This window comes from Homo sapiens, chromosome 15 (genome assembly GCF_000001405.40).
Source record: "Homo sapiens chromosome 15, GRCh38.p14 Primary Assembly".
Classification (NCBI taxonomy): Eukaryota; Metazoa; Chordata; class Mammalia; order Primates; family Hominidae; genus Homo; species Homo sapiens.
The window spans coordinates 42,181,649-42,193,715 of NC_000015.10; the positions used below are offsets into that span (position 1 = coordinate 42,181,649).

Consider the following 12,067-nt stretch of genomic DNA (forward strand, 5'->3'; position numbering starts at 1 on the left):
AAAATATATATTCATAAAAATAATTTCTTAGTGTGTCTAATTTGCTAATATTTCTAATTATCCTTTTTTTTTTTTGAGACAGAGTCTCTCTCTATAGGCCCGGCTGGAATGCAGTGAGTGGTGTGATCACGGCTTACTGCCGCCTCCATCTCCCAGGCTCAAGCAATCCTCCCACCTCAGCCACCCAAGTCCTGGGAATATATGCGTACAGCACGATGCCCAGCTAATTTCTTAAATGTATTTTTTGTAGAGACAGGGTCTCACTATGTTGCCCAGGCTGGTCTCAAACTCCTGGGCTCAAGCAGTCCTCCTGCCTCAGCCTCCCAATGTGCTGGGATTACAGGCATGAGTCGCTGCACTAGTTTAATTATCCATTTTCTGATAAAAAGTTTTTCCTATTATATTTGCAATTTATACTATCAATGAATAGTACAATAAAATTTCAAAGCTATGAGGGAACTCAGAAATGAGTAACTTGAGAACTAAGTTATATTTCTATCATTTTGAACGCTACTGCTATTATACTGATATTTTTCATCTTACCAGAAAAATGAAATTAAAAGCATATTGTTTTATATTGAATTTTTTATTTTATTTTTATGCTGGCCTCATTTTGAAAAGTTAGTACAATTTTCTTTAGTGCTAACTTGTATAACATATGTAAAATTTCTTTCTCCTTTTAAAATCTGTCCCACTTGAATACGTTCTCATTTAATTAAAAAGGTAATCTATAACAGAAACCCCTTTGGTTGTCATATCTTTTGTTGACAATAGAGATGGTCTGGATCTCTTTATATCTCCAAAAGTTGGGAGACTGGCTGGTGTACAGCAGGCATATAAATAATGACTGACCAGGATAATGATGCAATTATTCAGCAAGCATTTTCTTACACGCTCTGATGTTTCAGGCACTGTACTATGTAGTAAGGACTCAAAGTGGATCAAGACATGCATCCAGACCTCACAGAGCTCCTACAGGAACAGAGGAGACAGATCGCTCACGTGTGACAAGTTGCTGTGACAGAGATACCTGAAAGGGTTAGGGAAGCACCAAGAAGTGACTAATCCTGCCTGTGGGTCAAAGGAGACCTCACAGGGCAAGTGCCTCAAAACTTTCTTCAGCAGTAAGACACAGACATGGTTTTGAGAAGCACTGATGAAGGCCCCAGGCACTAACGAAGGTTGGAAGACAGGAACTCTCATCCTGGGAAATCAGAAACACGCTTGACTTTTACATGCCTCTTAAACTCATCTACCAAAGTTCCTCTTCTGAAGGGAAAACAAGGTCGCCTAGAACATCGGGAAAGCCTCTCATAAAGCTCCATAAGCCCCTCAAACTTGTGACTATCCATAATCCTGGGCCTTTTAAAATACTGACCTTTTGATTTCTCTTCCTTCTAGTCTACTTATCTCTAACCACAACCAGAACAATCACCCTAGAACATGATGTGTTTTTTGTTTTTTTTTTTGAGGCGGGAGTCTTGCTCTGTCACCCACGCTGGAGTGCAGTGGCACAATCTCGGCTCACCGCAACTTCCCCCTCCCTTCAAGCAGTTCTCCTGCCTCAACTTCCCAAGTAGCTGGGACCACAGGCACACACTGCCACACTCAGCTAGTTTTTTTTTTTTTTCGTGTTTGAGACGGGGTTTCACCATGTTGCCCAGGCTGATTGTGAACTCCTGAGCTTAGGCAATCTGCCTGCCTCAGCCTCCCAAAGTGCTAGGATTACAGGCGTGAGCCACTGTGCCCGGCCAGAACATGATGCTTTTATCAAGACATTCTACCATTCAGGAATCTACTGGCCTCCCAGACCTTCTCACGGACATCTACCAACTGGCCCTATTTCACTGCTCTGTAATTCAGACCACCTGTATCAAGTCAGGCTCTGTAATACCCTCTCCCAAATCGGCATGTCTTTCTTTGGACTTCTACTCATTTATTGGGCTTTCTGCCTAGATTGAATGGAAATTTTTCTTCAAGCCAGGTTCCAAACTCCCTGCCTGACCTAGTCCATAGTTCAGTCTTACCTATGTAATGAAACTTCTTCCTAATTAAACAACAAACTTCCCTTTCTCTGAACTACTGAATTTTAACTCATCCAATTTAACACCTTAAGCAGTGCCTTGTTTTGTCTCTTTATCCAAGACTGTAACCCTTGTCTCCAGAGACAGGGGTCTTTAAAGACAGAAAGCATGTCAGTACGTCCCACTTCACAGCAGTAACTATTTTAGTAATGCTCACTCTTCCGACTGAAAATAAAATGGGGCAAGAGTGGTTATATGCTTCCAGGCAATTCCATTGTGGAGAGCTGGGAACCTGAAGCAAGCATAAGAACAGAAGCACCTAATGCGTAGAATAGAGGCTGACACCAAAATCACCTAAATGTTGTCTGTGCCTCTAAGCTACAAAAAAAAAAAAAAAAAAAAAGCAACAATAGAAAAACCCTTCAACATGGAATTACTATATCAAAAACCCTTCAATATGGAATTACTCATACTATAGGAATACACAAGGAATTTCCACTAATTTCCAAATGTAGTCTATTTGGCAGAGGACACAATCAAAACTCTTAAAAAAAGGAGGAAGAAAAAAACTAAGAAGTAAAAGATAGCAGTAGATAATCACTTCCTAAAATAAACATTTCTGTTTATATGTTTTCCCCCTCTGGAGTAAAACTCAGCTTCTTGCAAGAACTAGACTATCCCATTTTTAATGACCCTAAAATGTCATCTACTTATAAGAAGGGGAACTGAAAGTGAATGACACAACGTAAACCAGTCTGCTAAAGCTACGAATGGGACTCCGTTCTGCAGGAATGGCACACAACCTCAACCCAAAGTGGGAAACAGCAGCTACTGTTGGTCTCACCCATGGCCACTGGTATGTCCGTCCAGTTCAGGGCACATTTCTGTGTGCAGATCCCTTCCTCATTGAGTACCACGGTGAGATCATCCTGGCCCACAGCCACTTTTCCATCTGCCAGAGGTGCAACTAAGGGCTCCAGCTGTTTTCCTGTTGGAAAGAGCTCTTTGATGGACCCCTTTCCATCCACCTATAGGAAGAAACAGAGTGAGTCACCTAGCATTCCCCAGCCAGAGGTAAGAACACAGGAAAAATCCAGATAGAACCCGAAACCTAGAGAAGCCAATAATATTCCTTGTTTGACATAAGAAAATGTTACAGAGTTTATTATAATAACCGTTGTTATCACAATGTAAAACCCGTTCTCTAATGCAAAGGAAAGCATCTAGCCTGGCAACTGACAATGCCAGGTGCTGGCAAGAATGCAGAGCAACTAGAACTCACATTCACTGCTGGTGGGAATGCAAAATGGTGCAGCTGTTTTGTTTGTTGGTTTCTTACAAAGTTTAAGATACACTTGCCATATGCCCCTTAAAGATACACTTACCATATGCCCCAGCAATCCCATTCCCAGGCATTTGCCCAGGAATGCCAATGTATGTTTACACAAACGCTTGTATGCAAATGTCTTAGATGCTTATTCAAAATTGCTAAAAATTGAAAACAACTTTTTTTTTTTTTTTTTTTGGAGACAGTCTTGCTCTGTCGCCCAGGCTGGAGTGCAGTGGCACAATCTCAGCTCACTGCAACCTCCGCCTCCTGGGTTCAAACAATCCTCCTGCCTCAGCCTCCTGAGTAGCTGGAACTACAGGCGTGTGCCACCACGCCAGGCTAATTTTTTTTTTTGTATTTTTAGTAGAGATGGGGTTTCACCGTGTTAGCCAGGATGGTCTCAATCTCCTGACCTCGTGATCCACCCGCCACGGCCTCCCAAAGTGCTGGGATTAAAGGTGTGAGCCACCGCGCCTGGCCAAAATCAACTTTGTCCATCAACTGATGAATGGATAAACAAACACCTTGCCATAGACTACTATTCAGCCATGAGAAAGAATAAACTATTAACACACACAACAACATGGATAAATCTCCAGTGCATTCTGCTAAGTGAAAGAAGCCAGACTCAAAAGCCTACATATTGTGTCATTCAATTTATATGACATTCTGGAAAAGGCAAAGCTATAGGAGATGAAGAACAGATGAGTGGTTACCAGAGGTCTAGGAACAGAAGGAGAGGCTGACTTCAATATGAGGGAATTTTGGGGGGTGATGGTAGTGTTGTGAATCTCGATTGTGGCATTAGTCACATAAATCTAAGCATTTGTCAAAACACAGAACTGTACACCAAAAAGAATAAATTTTACTGTATGTAAATAAGTAATTTCTGAATAGCCTGGTCCTAAAGCAAGGTTTCCCACCCTGAAGGTGATGTCAGCATCCAAGGCAGTCAGAGAACTGAGAGCCTTAAGTCCAGCTTTTGCTCAGTTCCCTTATTCCTTGTGCGCTCTCTCACCATCTGTAGGCCTACTTGCTATTGAGTCAGTGGCACAGCAGTGACTCCTCCAGGAGTCTGCAACTCTGATGCTGATAAAATCAGGATATTCAAATGACACAAAGATGGAACAAATATATTAACAAGATAACAATGGGGCCAGGCATGGTGGCTGTAATCTCAGCACTTTGGGAGGCTGAGGCAGGAGGGCTGCTTGAGCCCAGGAGTTTAAGACCAGCCTATGCAACATATTGTGACCCCATCTCTACAAAAATACAAAAAAAAAAAAAATACAAAAATTAGCTGAGCATGGTGGTAGGCATCTGGGCTACCTGGGAGGCTGAGGTGGGAGGACTGCTTGAGCCCAGGAGACGGAGGCTGCAGTGAGCCAAGATCCTGCCACTGCACTCCCGCCTGGGTGACAGAGGGGTACCCTGTCTCAAATAAAATAAAATAACCAATGAAGAGCTCACCCAGTGGAAGGTAGAGAGAGAGGCTTCTAGAATTGCCATGTCTGAATTACAAGGGGTGTGAAGCTAAGAGATTTAGATTATTCAATGAAACGAACAGTGTGTCAATCTTTTCTACATATAGTATGCATATTGGAGAAAAACAACGTCATGGATATTTACAACTTACGTTAAGAGAAAACACAGGTCATAAAACAATTGTATAGCATAGTATTTTTACCAATAGGATGGAAGTTCATATACCAAGAAGTTGGCAGTGACTATTTCTGAGTGGGGGGACTATGGTTGATTTGCACTTCCTTTATCTCCTTATCTATATTTTCTGTAATAAACACGTGTAAAAACACGTGGCTTTTGAAATTTAAAAAAATAGTGAGAATCACTTTTAGTACAAACATACAAAAAGATTTGACGGCAGGAGAGGAAACTCAAAGTCTTAAAAATACTTAAGTTTATACTAAAATTAGTTTAAAATTCCTAAGCACTGAAGCCTTAGGATAGCAGTCCATGATGATCCACTGGACAGAGGCAAACAGCCTTCATTATCTGTCCCAATAGTAAAATACACACTGTGGATCATCATTACGTAAAGAACTGAGCGTTGACTCTTGGACTGACTTAAGTTACAAAGATATCCTATTTGTGAAAAATGCTGAGCATGAATGATAACTACACATACAAATAACAAATCCTGTTATGCCAAAAGCTCTACTTAAAGTGGTCGCTTGACCTGGAGTTTGGAGCAGATAATCATCTTCCCCAAGATAAACTAATGATATTTGCAAAATAATAAGATTTTACCCTTATTAGGTAGTAGTCTCTCTTGAAACCCACACAGATAGAATTTTCACACCACGCCATGGACTTGGGCACATCTGGCACACTAAAGTCCCCCTGAAAAAAGAGAGCAAGGATCTGAATGAAATAAATATTTTTTTAAAAAATCATGACTTTCCTGTTATTCTGCAACCTCCATTCTGCAAAACAACCCTCACCCTCATCGGGCACAATTCTACAGGCACAAGGCCAGGAAACTACCCTTAATAAAAATACAAGTCCATGAACTGGACAAAGTACATTTGGAAAAGGTGAAAACCCACTTTGAAATAAACCAATCTATAAAAACACTGTAGAATCATATTACAAGTAGGCATCAACAAGCTCTCATGCACTTCATACCAGAGTATTCATTTGCGTAGAATGACAAGACTGGAGTCCTGAACTTCACTAGAACCGAGCCACTGCAGCAGCTCCCACCCAACCATGGACCAAGGAACAGTGGACTTACCTGCAATTCATGAAATTCCCTGTCCTTCCAGAAATAGAGCTGCAGCTTCTTTTTTACTGCCACACACATCCGTAACACCTCCTCACCGGTCTCTGTGTGCTGGGAGGAGACATGCAGAGCAAATGAAAATACAATGACTCTCTCTAACTGAGTGATAACTAAATTAGAGATTGTCTACCTTGAAATTGCTACTACTCTGAAAATTCCCTGTAACACAGTCATCCTGCCAGGAAAGCTGAGCAGAACACCATTCTCTAAGATGCGCTAAGAAACAAGTGACTGAGGAACACTTCCTCCCGAAGGGTTGCCAGCCAAAGACCACAGCACCAGCAAATCACATGGACATTCACAATTCAGAGGAGAAAATCCTGGGGCAGTCCTTCCCCTATATAACTCCTCCCTCCTTTTTGCTCTTAAATGTTTCTTGCTCCTGGCTGTCAATGCATGCTGGGTTAAGGGTGACCATGTGCCAGTGACATCAAGCCCACTTTTAAGCCTTTAAAGAGCAAGGAAAAGAGTATTCCTAAGCATAAAATGATGCAGTGTCAATGTAGAACATAAATGCTAAAAAATGGTAAGTTGAGTAGAGAGAGGGGTGAGGCAGATTCTGAAGAATAAAAGAATGATAAATTGGCAAAAATAAAGAGCGATATCTTTTCTGAACAATGAAAAGTCCCTAATGACAAAGACCTCAGTGATCTGTTTAGAACAAGACTCCATTTAATGTCTTATAATTATCTTCATGATATTGTTACAGTCTTGCTTTCCCAACAATGGTTTGTCCAGGACGAGAGTTTTTGTCCTCGGTTAGCTGCCTCTTGCCAATAGTATTAGATTCTCATTAACCCACGCACAGGGAATGCAAACGCTTCAACTTCACACTATGCACCAACAGAGAAATTTCTCTAATACAATTAAATATTCTCTTTGGGCCGGGTGCAGTGGCTCATGCCTGTAATCCCAGCACTTTGGGAGGCCAAGGTCACCTAAGGTCAGGAGTTCGAGACTAGCCTGGCCAACATGGTGAAACCCCATCTCTAATTTAAAAAAATACAAAAAATAGCCGGACGTGGTGGTGCACACCTGTAGTCCCAGCTACACAGGAGGCTGAGGCAAGAGAATCACTTGAGCCCGAGAGGCAGGGGTTGCAGTGAGCCGAGATCGTGCCACTACACTCTAGCCTGGGCGACAGAACAAGACTCCATCTCAGGAAAAAAATAAATAAATAAATAATCTTTGGAGTCTCTGTTGGGTATGGATCATCAGTGTCATTCTTCCCATCTAATGGTAGGAATGATGTAGGAAAGACTGTATTGATTAAAGCATAAAGCCAAATTTCATCTTGGGTAAACTTACCTGGAGGTCACAAGTAAACAGTGATGCTCCCTTTGCCTTTGAAACCGTAGTGATTTGTTGAAATGTCAATAGGTCATGGACATAAATGTTATTTTCTGTTTGGGAGGAGGTATAACATCAGGATCAATGATCATAATTCTCTAGCATAGCCACTATCGAGGCAAAAAAAGTAACTGTGTTAACATCTAGAAGAAGCAAATGGCAGATGTTGGTTGAAGATGTCCCTTCAGTTTCACTAGGATGATTCATTCTCACCTATAACCAGTACAAAGCATTTAAGAGGTCACTTGGTCTTCTAAACTTGGATATTTTCTTCCTTAAACATTTGAGCTTGGCCCGGCATGGTGGCTCACACCTGTCATCCCAGCACTTTGGGAGGCTGAGACAGGCAGATCACTTGAGGTCAAGAGTTTGAGACCAGCCTGGGTAACACAGTGAAACCCTGTCTCTACTAAAAATACAAAAATCAGCTGGGTATGGTGGTGGGTGCCTGTAATCCCAGCTACTCAGGGGGTTGAAGCAGGAGAATCCCTTGACCCAGGAGGTCAGAAGTTGCAGTGAGCCAGGGCTGCACCACTACACTCCAGCCTGGGCGACAGAGTGAGACTCCGTCTCAAAAAAAAAAAAAAAAAAAATTGGGGCTGACTTGAGTAAAAGAGATCTTTCACTTCCAAAACACTCTTTTTTTTTTTTTTTTTTTTTTTTTTGAGGCACGGTCTCACTCTGTTGCCCAGGCTAGAGTGCATCAACAAAAGGGGCATGATCTCAGCTCACTACAGCCTTAACCTCCTTGAGACTCAAGTGATCCTCCTACCTCAGCCTCCTGAGTAGCTAGGACTACAGGCATGCACCACCACACCTGGCTAATTTTGTTTATTTTTTGTGGAGATGAGGTCTCCCTGTGTTGCCCAGGCTGGTCTCAAACTCCTGGACTCAAGCAATCCTCCTGCCTTAGCCTCCCAAAGTGCTGGGATTACTGGTGTGAGCCACTGCACCCAGTCCAAAGCACTCTTATACTCTGTCCATTTCAAGTCTGAAATATTATGATGCAGTATTTATACAAGAAATGGCTTTCAAAGCTACTCACATTAGGAGGCTCCAATTAGAAAAGGGAAATCCCCTGTGCATTTTGTACTAACCCATGGCAATGATTTCTTTCCTAGCAAAGCAATCAAAATAATCATTTTACCTGGGCCTCATATCTAGTTTTAGTCATGAAGATTAAGTTACCTCAGATGTTTATCTGTGGACCCAGGAACAACATTTAACATGATTTTACTCTTTGGGCCCCAGGGTCAACAGCGCAAAGTGTGAGATCAGCTGCTAGTCCCCTGCATGTCCAGAAAAGGCCTCACTGGCTGCTTTCTATGAAACCATGGTTTTTCACATGAGGGCCTCAACAGTGTAGCCCTGCTCTGTCTCTTACCTGATATCCTGCCAATCTCCACCACATATCCTTAGTCTGGCCACAATAAACAATTTGCCACAAACTGCCACATCTCAAGGCCTTTGTTCTAGTTGTTCCCTGTGTTTGTGATACGCTGCTGGCCTCTTTTCCTACTGAAAGTCTAGTTATCTACTAGACAATATAGTCCCTCCCATTACCAAGATTCCACAACACTTTTTATAAATTTTCACTGTAACTTACCACATTGTATCGTGATTACTTCCTGTCATTTAGTCTTCATAATCAGAATGTAAGTCTCAAAGATAGCAACTATGTCTCACTGAACTTGGTATCCCGAATGTCTAGTCCAGACTTTGCATAGAATAGGCTCAATAAATATTTGATCAATGAACGAATGAATGAATAAAGTGAGACTCCTTGGAGAGAAGAGTTCGAGTCTATGGAGGATGCTGCTGCCTTTATTAACCATGTACCCTGTTATACCAGGTTTGGAACACGTCAGTTCATTGTTAAGTAACCACTATCAAATTAACCATGAAAGGATTAATTAGGTCATATCTTTTCTTGTTAGACACAGGATACAAATGCAACTCCTTTTCTTACCTAACAAGCTGACCAGAATCTTAAACTGGGAAACCACATGGATCTGGAAAATAGGAAATCATGAGACCCAATTAAACATTTCTGACAAGGTTTAGCAAATGTTCATTCAATAACAGTAATAAAAAGGGACCACGGAGCCTATCCAGTTACAGGGATCTCACTGATTTTTCTGGGCACTATAATTTCTGTGATTATCATTTCTGCTTGTGAGAGAGGATCTCAGGCACATGATATATGAGCAGACACTCCTGCATAAATAGAAGGTCAAAGAGAAGAGGATTCAGAGTTAATAAATAACATTACCAAAGTTCTAGTCTGACAGGGTCTCATGTAAGTCAAATATTCTTGTAAGGACTGCCATCACTGCTTACCTGCTGAATCTTTTTGGAGAAGTTCTTATTGGATTTCTCTAGTGTCACTTCAAATCTGTTGCAACCTATGGAAAACAAATAAACACTGGTAGTTCCAAATACAGGGATACATAGAAAAACCACTACTAGAAAAATACTGCTCCATACTGCTCTCCTATATAAATCTTTGGAAGTTCCTGAAAGACTAAAAATCAGAGATCTAAATAGCCAGCTCTCTTACAAGCACTATAAGATGCTTTCAACTCTAATTTTAGAGCAGAGCGTTTCATGCACCTTCACTCGGCATCAGCAGAAAGGATCACACAAAGTTCACTGAAGCGGCAAGGTACTCGTGAGTCTGAAGATCTTATCTTGCAAAATCAGTACCTTGGCAAAGTGTTCCACAAGGAAGGGTGTAAAAAGTAACAGTCAAATATAAGAGCCCAAGCCATGAAACCCAGCCCAAAGCATCCTTAGATCTAGACCAACTAATTTCCAGCAACTATTCTAACTAAGTTCTGTATCACGGAGACAGAGCAAACACTCAAACCCATCTCCAGAGCTAAAGCAATTCAATGCGTCTACACTTACTGCCGCTTTCAGGTGATGCTACATCTGCTGGCACTGTTACAAAAAAGGGGAAGAAAGTTATATACCATAAAAACATGTGAATTCAGCCTTGCTGGGGATGACAAAAATATTCAGCCTCAAAAGTCACCAATGAGTCAAAAAGAGAATAATTATCATCATCATCATCAGAGCAGCTATCATGAAGCAATAACTACATACTGGGTTCGGGGTTTAAAAATTTATATATATTTTTTTCTGTAAACTCACAACTACTCCCAAGAAGTAGGTATTATTATTCCAAGCTCATATTTGAGGGGCATGAGGGGTAAAGCAGTTAGGTAACAGCCAGTGAGGGAGCCTACAAGCAAACCCAGGCTGACTCTAAAGCCTGTGCTCTGAACCCACGCCCTGCTACCTGCCTTCTACTTCATGGACAGGATGCTCGCACTGCTGACCTGAGTTGTTCCCCACAGCTAGCTCTGCCCTTGCCCTCTGGAAATCAGGGAGACTCTTTGGGGCAGCCATAAGAACTCATGCCACCAAAGCTGGTCTTACTTCTTCCATGTGTCCCTCAGCAGAGGGGATGAAGAAAGGGCCCTAAAGTTGCAGGGAGTGTGCCCTGGTATTCTGCTGTTACATTTCATGAGAAAAAAAAACAATTCAGACACTTCCTACACTTGAAAGCGTCCTATTATTGCATTTAATACTTCTCTTTTCTTATTTTTTTGTTTTGTTTTGTTTTGTTTTTTTTTGAGACAGAGTCTCATTCTGTTGCCCAGGCCGGAGTGCAGTAGTGCAATCTCAGCTCACTGCAACATCCACCTCCCGGGTTCAAGCAATTCTCGTGCCCTCAGCCTCTGGAGTAGCTGGGATTACAGGCATGTGCCACCATGCCCGGCTAATTTTTGTATTTTTAGTAGAGACAGGGTTTCACCATGTTGGCCAGGCTGGCCTTGAACTCTCGACCTCAGGTGATCCACCCACCTCGGCCTTCCAAAGTGCTGGGATTACAGGAGTGAGCCACTGCCCCCGGCCTATAATTCTCTTTACAAACAGAATTTTCTAAGGCAGAGATTCTTAAACTTTTTTGTCTCAAAATCTTGATAATCTTAAAAATTACTGAGGACCTCAAAGAACTTTTTTGGGGGTTATATACATGAATATTTATGTTAGAAATTTAAATACATACATTTAAAAACATATATGTATTTAAAAATAACAATAATAACCCCATAAGTAAGAACCCACATCTGCTTCTGCATTTAATCTGTTTTGATAATTTAATTTGTTTTGGTTGAAGTATATGACAAAAAATCTGTCCTCATATAGATAACATAGTTGAAAAGGGAAAAGTACTTTAATAGATTTTTCAGATTCTTCTTTGATACTACACCAACACTTAACAAATGTAATTTCTTGTAAAGCGAAATCTCACACCTGTCAATGAACTTTTCATTTTCTGTTACGTAAAAAAACATTGGTCTACCTTACACTTTGAATGTATTTTTTACTCATACGTGATTTTAAAACTCATGCATTAGTCATTTGGAAAATACTGGTTCACTGAGTTATGCAGATTTTCCAATCCAGACCTACATTTCATTATAGGATGTTAAAAAATGACACTCATTATTATCACCCCCAATCTCATCAGAAAAAATCTTTAATTAT

At 41.2% G+C, this 12,067-nt stretch overlaps 1 protein-coding gene across 5 annotated transcripts in view, besides 1 other annotated feature; it reads right to left on the reverse strand.

Annotated features, from left to right (window-relative positions):
• Positions 1–12,067, reverse strand: part of VPS39 (VPS39 subunit of HOPS complex) — a 49,604-nt gene that overhangs the window by 22,948 nt on the left and 14,589 nt on the right. For 3 of the 5 annotated variants that reach the window (NM_001301138.3, XM_011521403.3, XM_047432322.1), the window contains exons 3-9: positions 10,418–10,450; positions 9,848–9,912; positions 9,477–9,519; positions 7,466–7,560; positions 6,110–6,208; positions 5,623–5,715; positions 2,869–3,052 (exon numbers count right to left, since the gene is read on the reverse strand). In NM_001301138.3, coding sequence (NP_001288067.1) covers positions 2,869–3,052; positions 5,623–5,715; positions 6,110–6,208; positions 7,466–7,560; positions 9,477–9,519; positions 9,848–9,912; positions 10,418–10,450 — 612 coding nt within the window. The remainder of the gene's footprint in view (positions 1–2,868; positions 3,053–5,622; positions 5,716–6,109; positions 6,209–7,465; positions 7,561–9,476; positions 9,520–9,847; positions 9,913–10,417; positions 10,451–12,067) is intronic. The other 2 variants (NM_015289.5, XM_011521404.3) reach the window with 1 other exon arrangement.
• Positions 10,885–11,074: an enhancer, noted in NCBI's record as "active region_9296". NCBI's record gives its function as "activates an Ori minimal core promoter by ATAC-STARR-seq in GM12878 lymphoblastoid cells {active_cell/tissue: GM12878}" and the evidence as "EXISTENCE:reporter gene assay evidence [ECO:0000049][PMID:35858748]".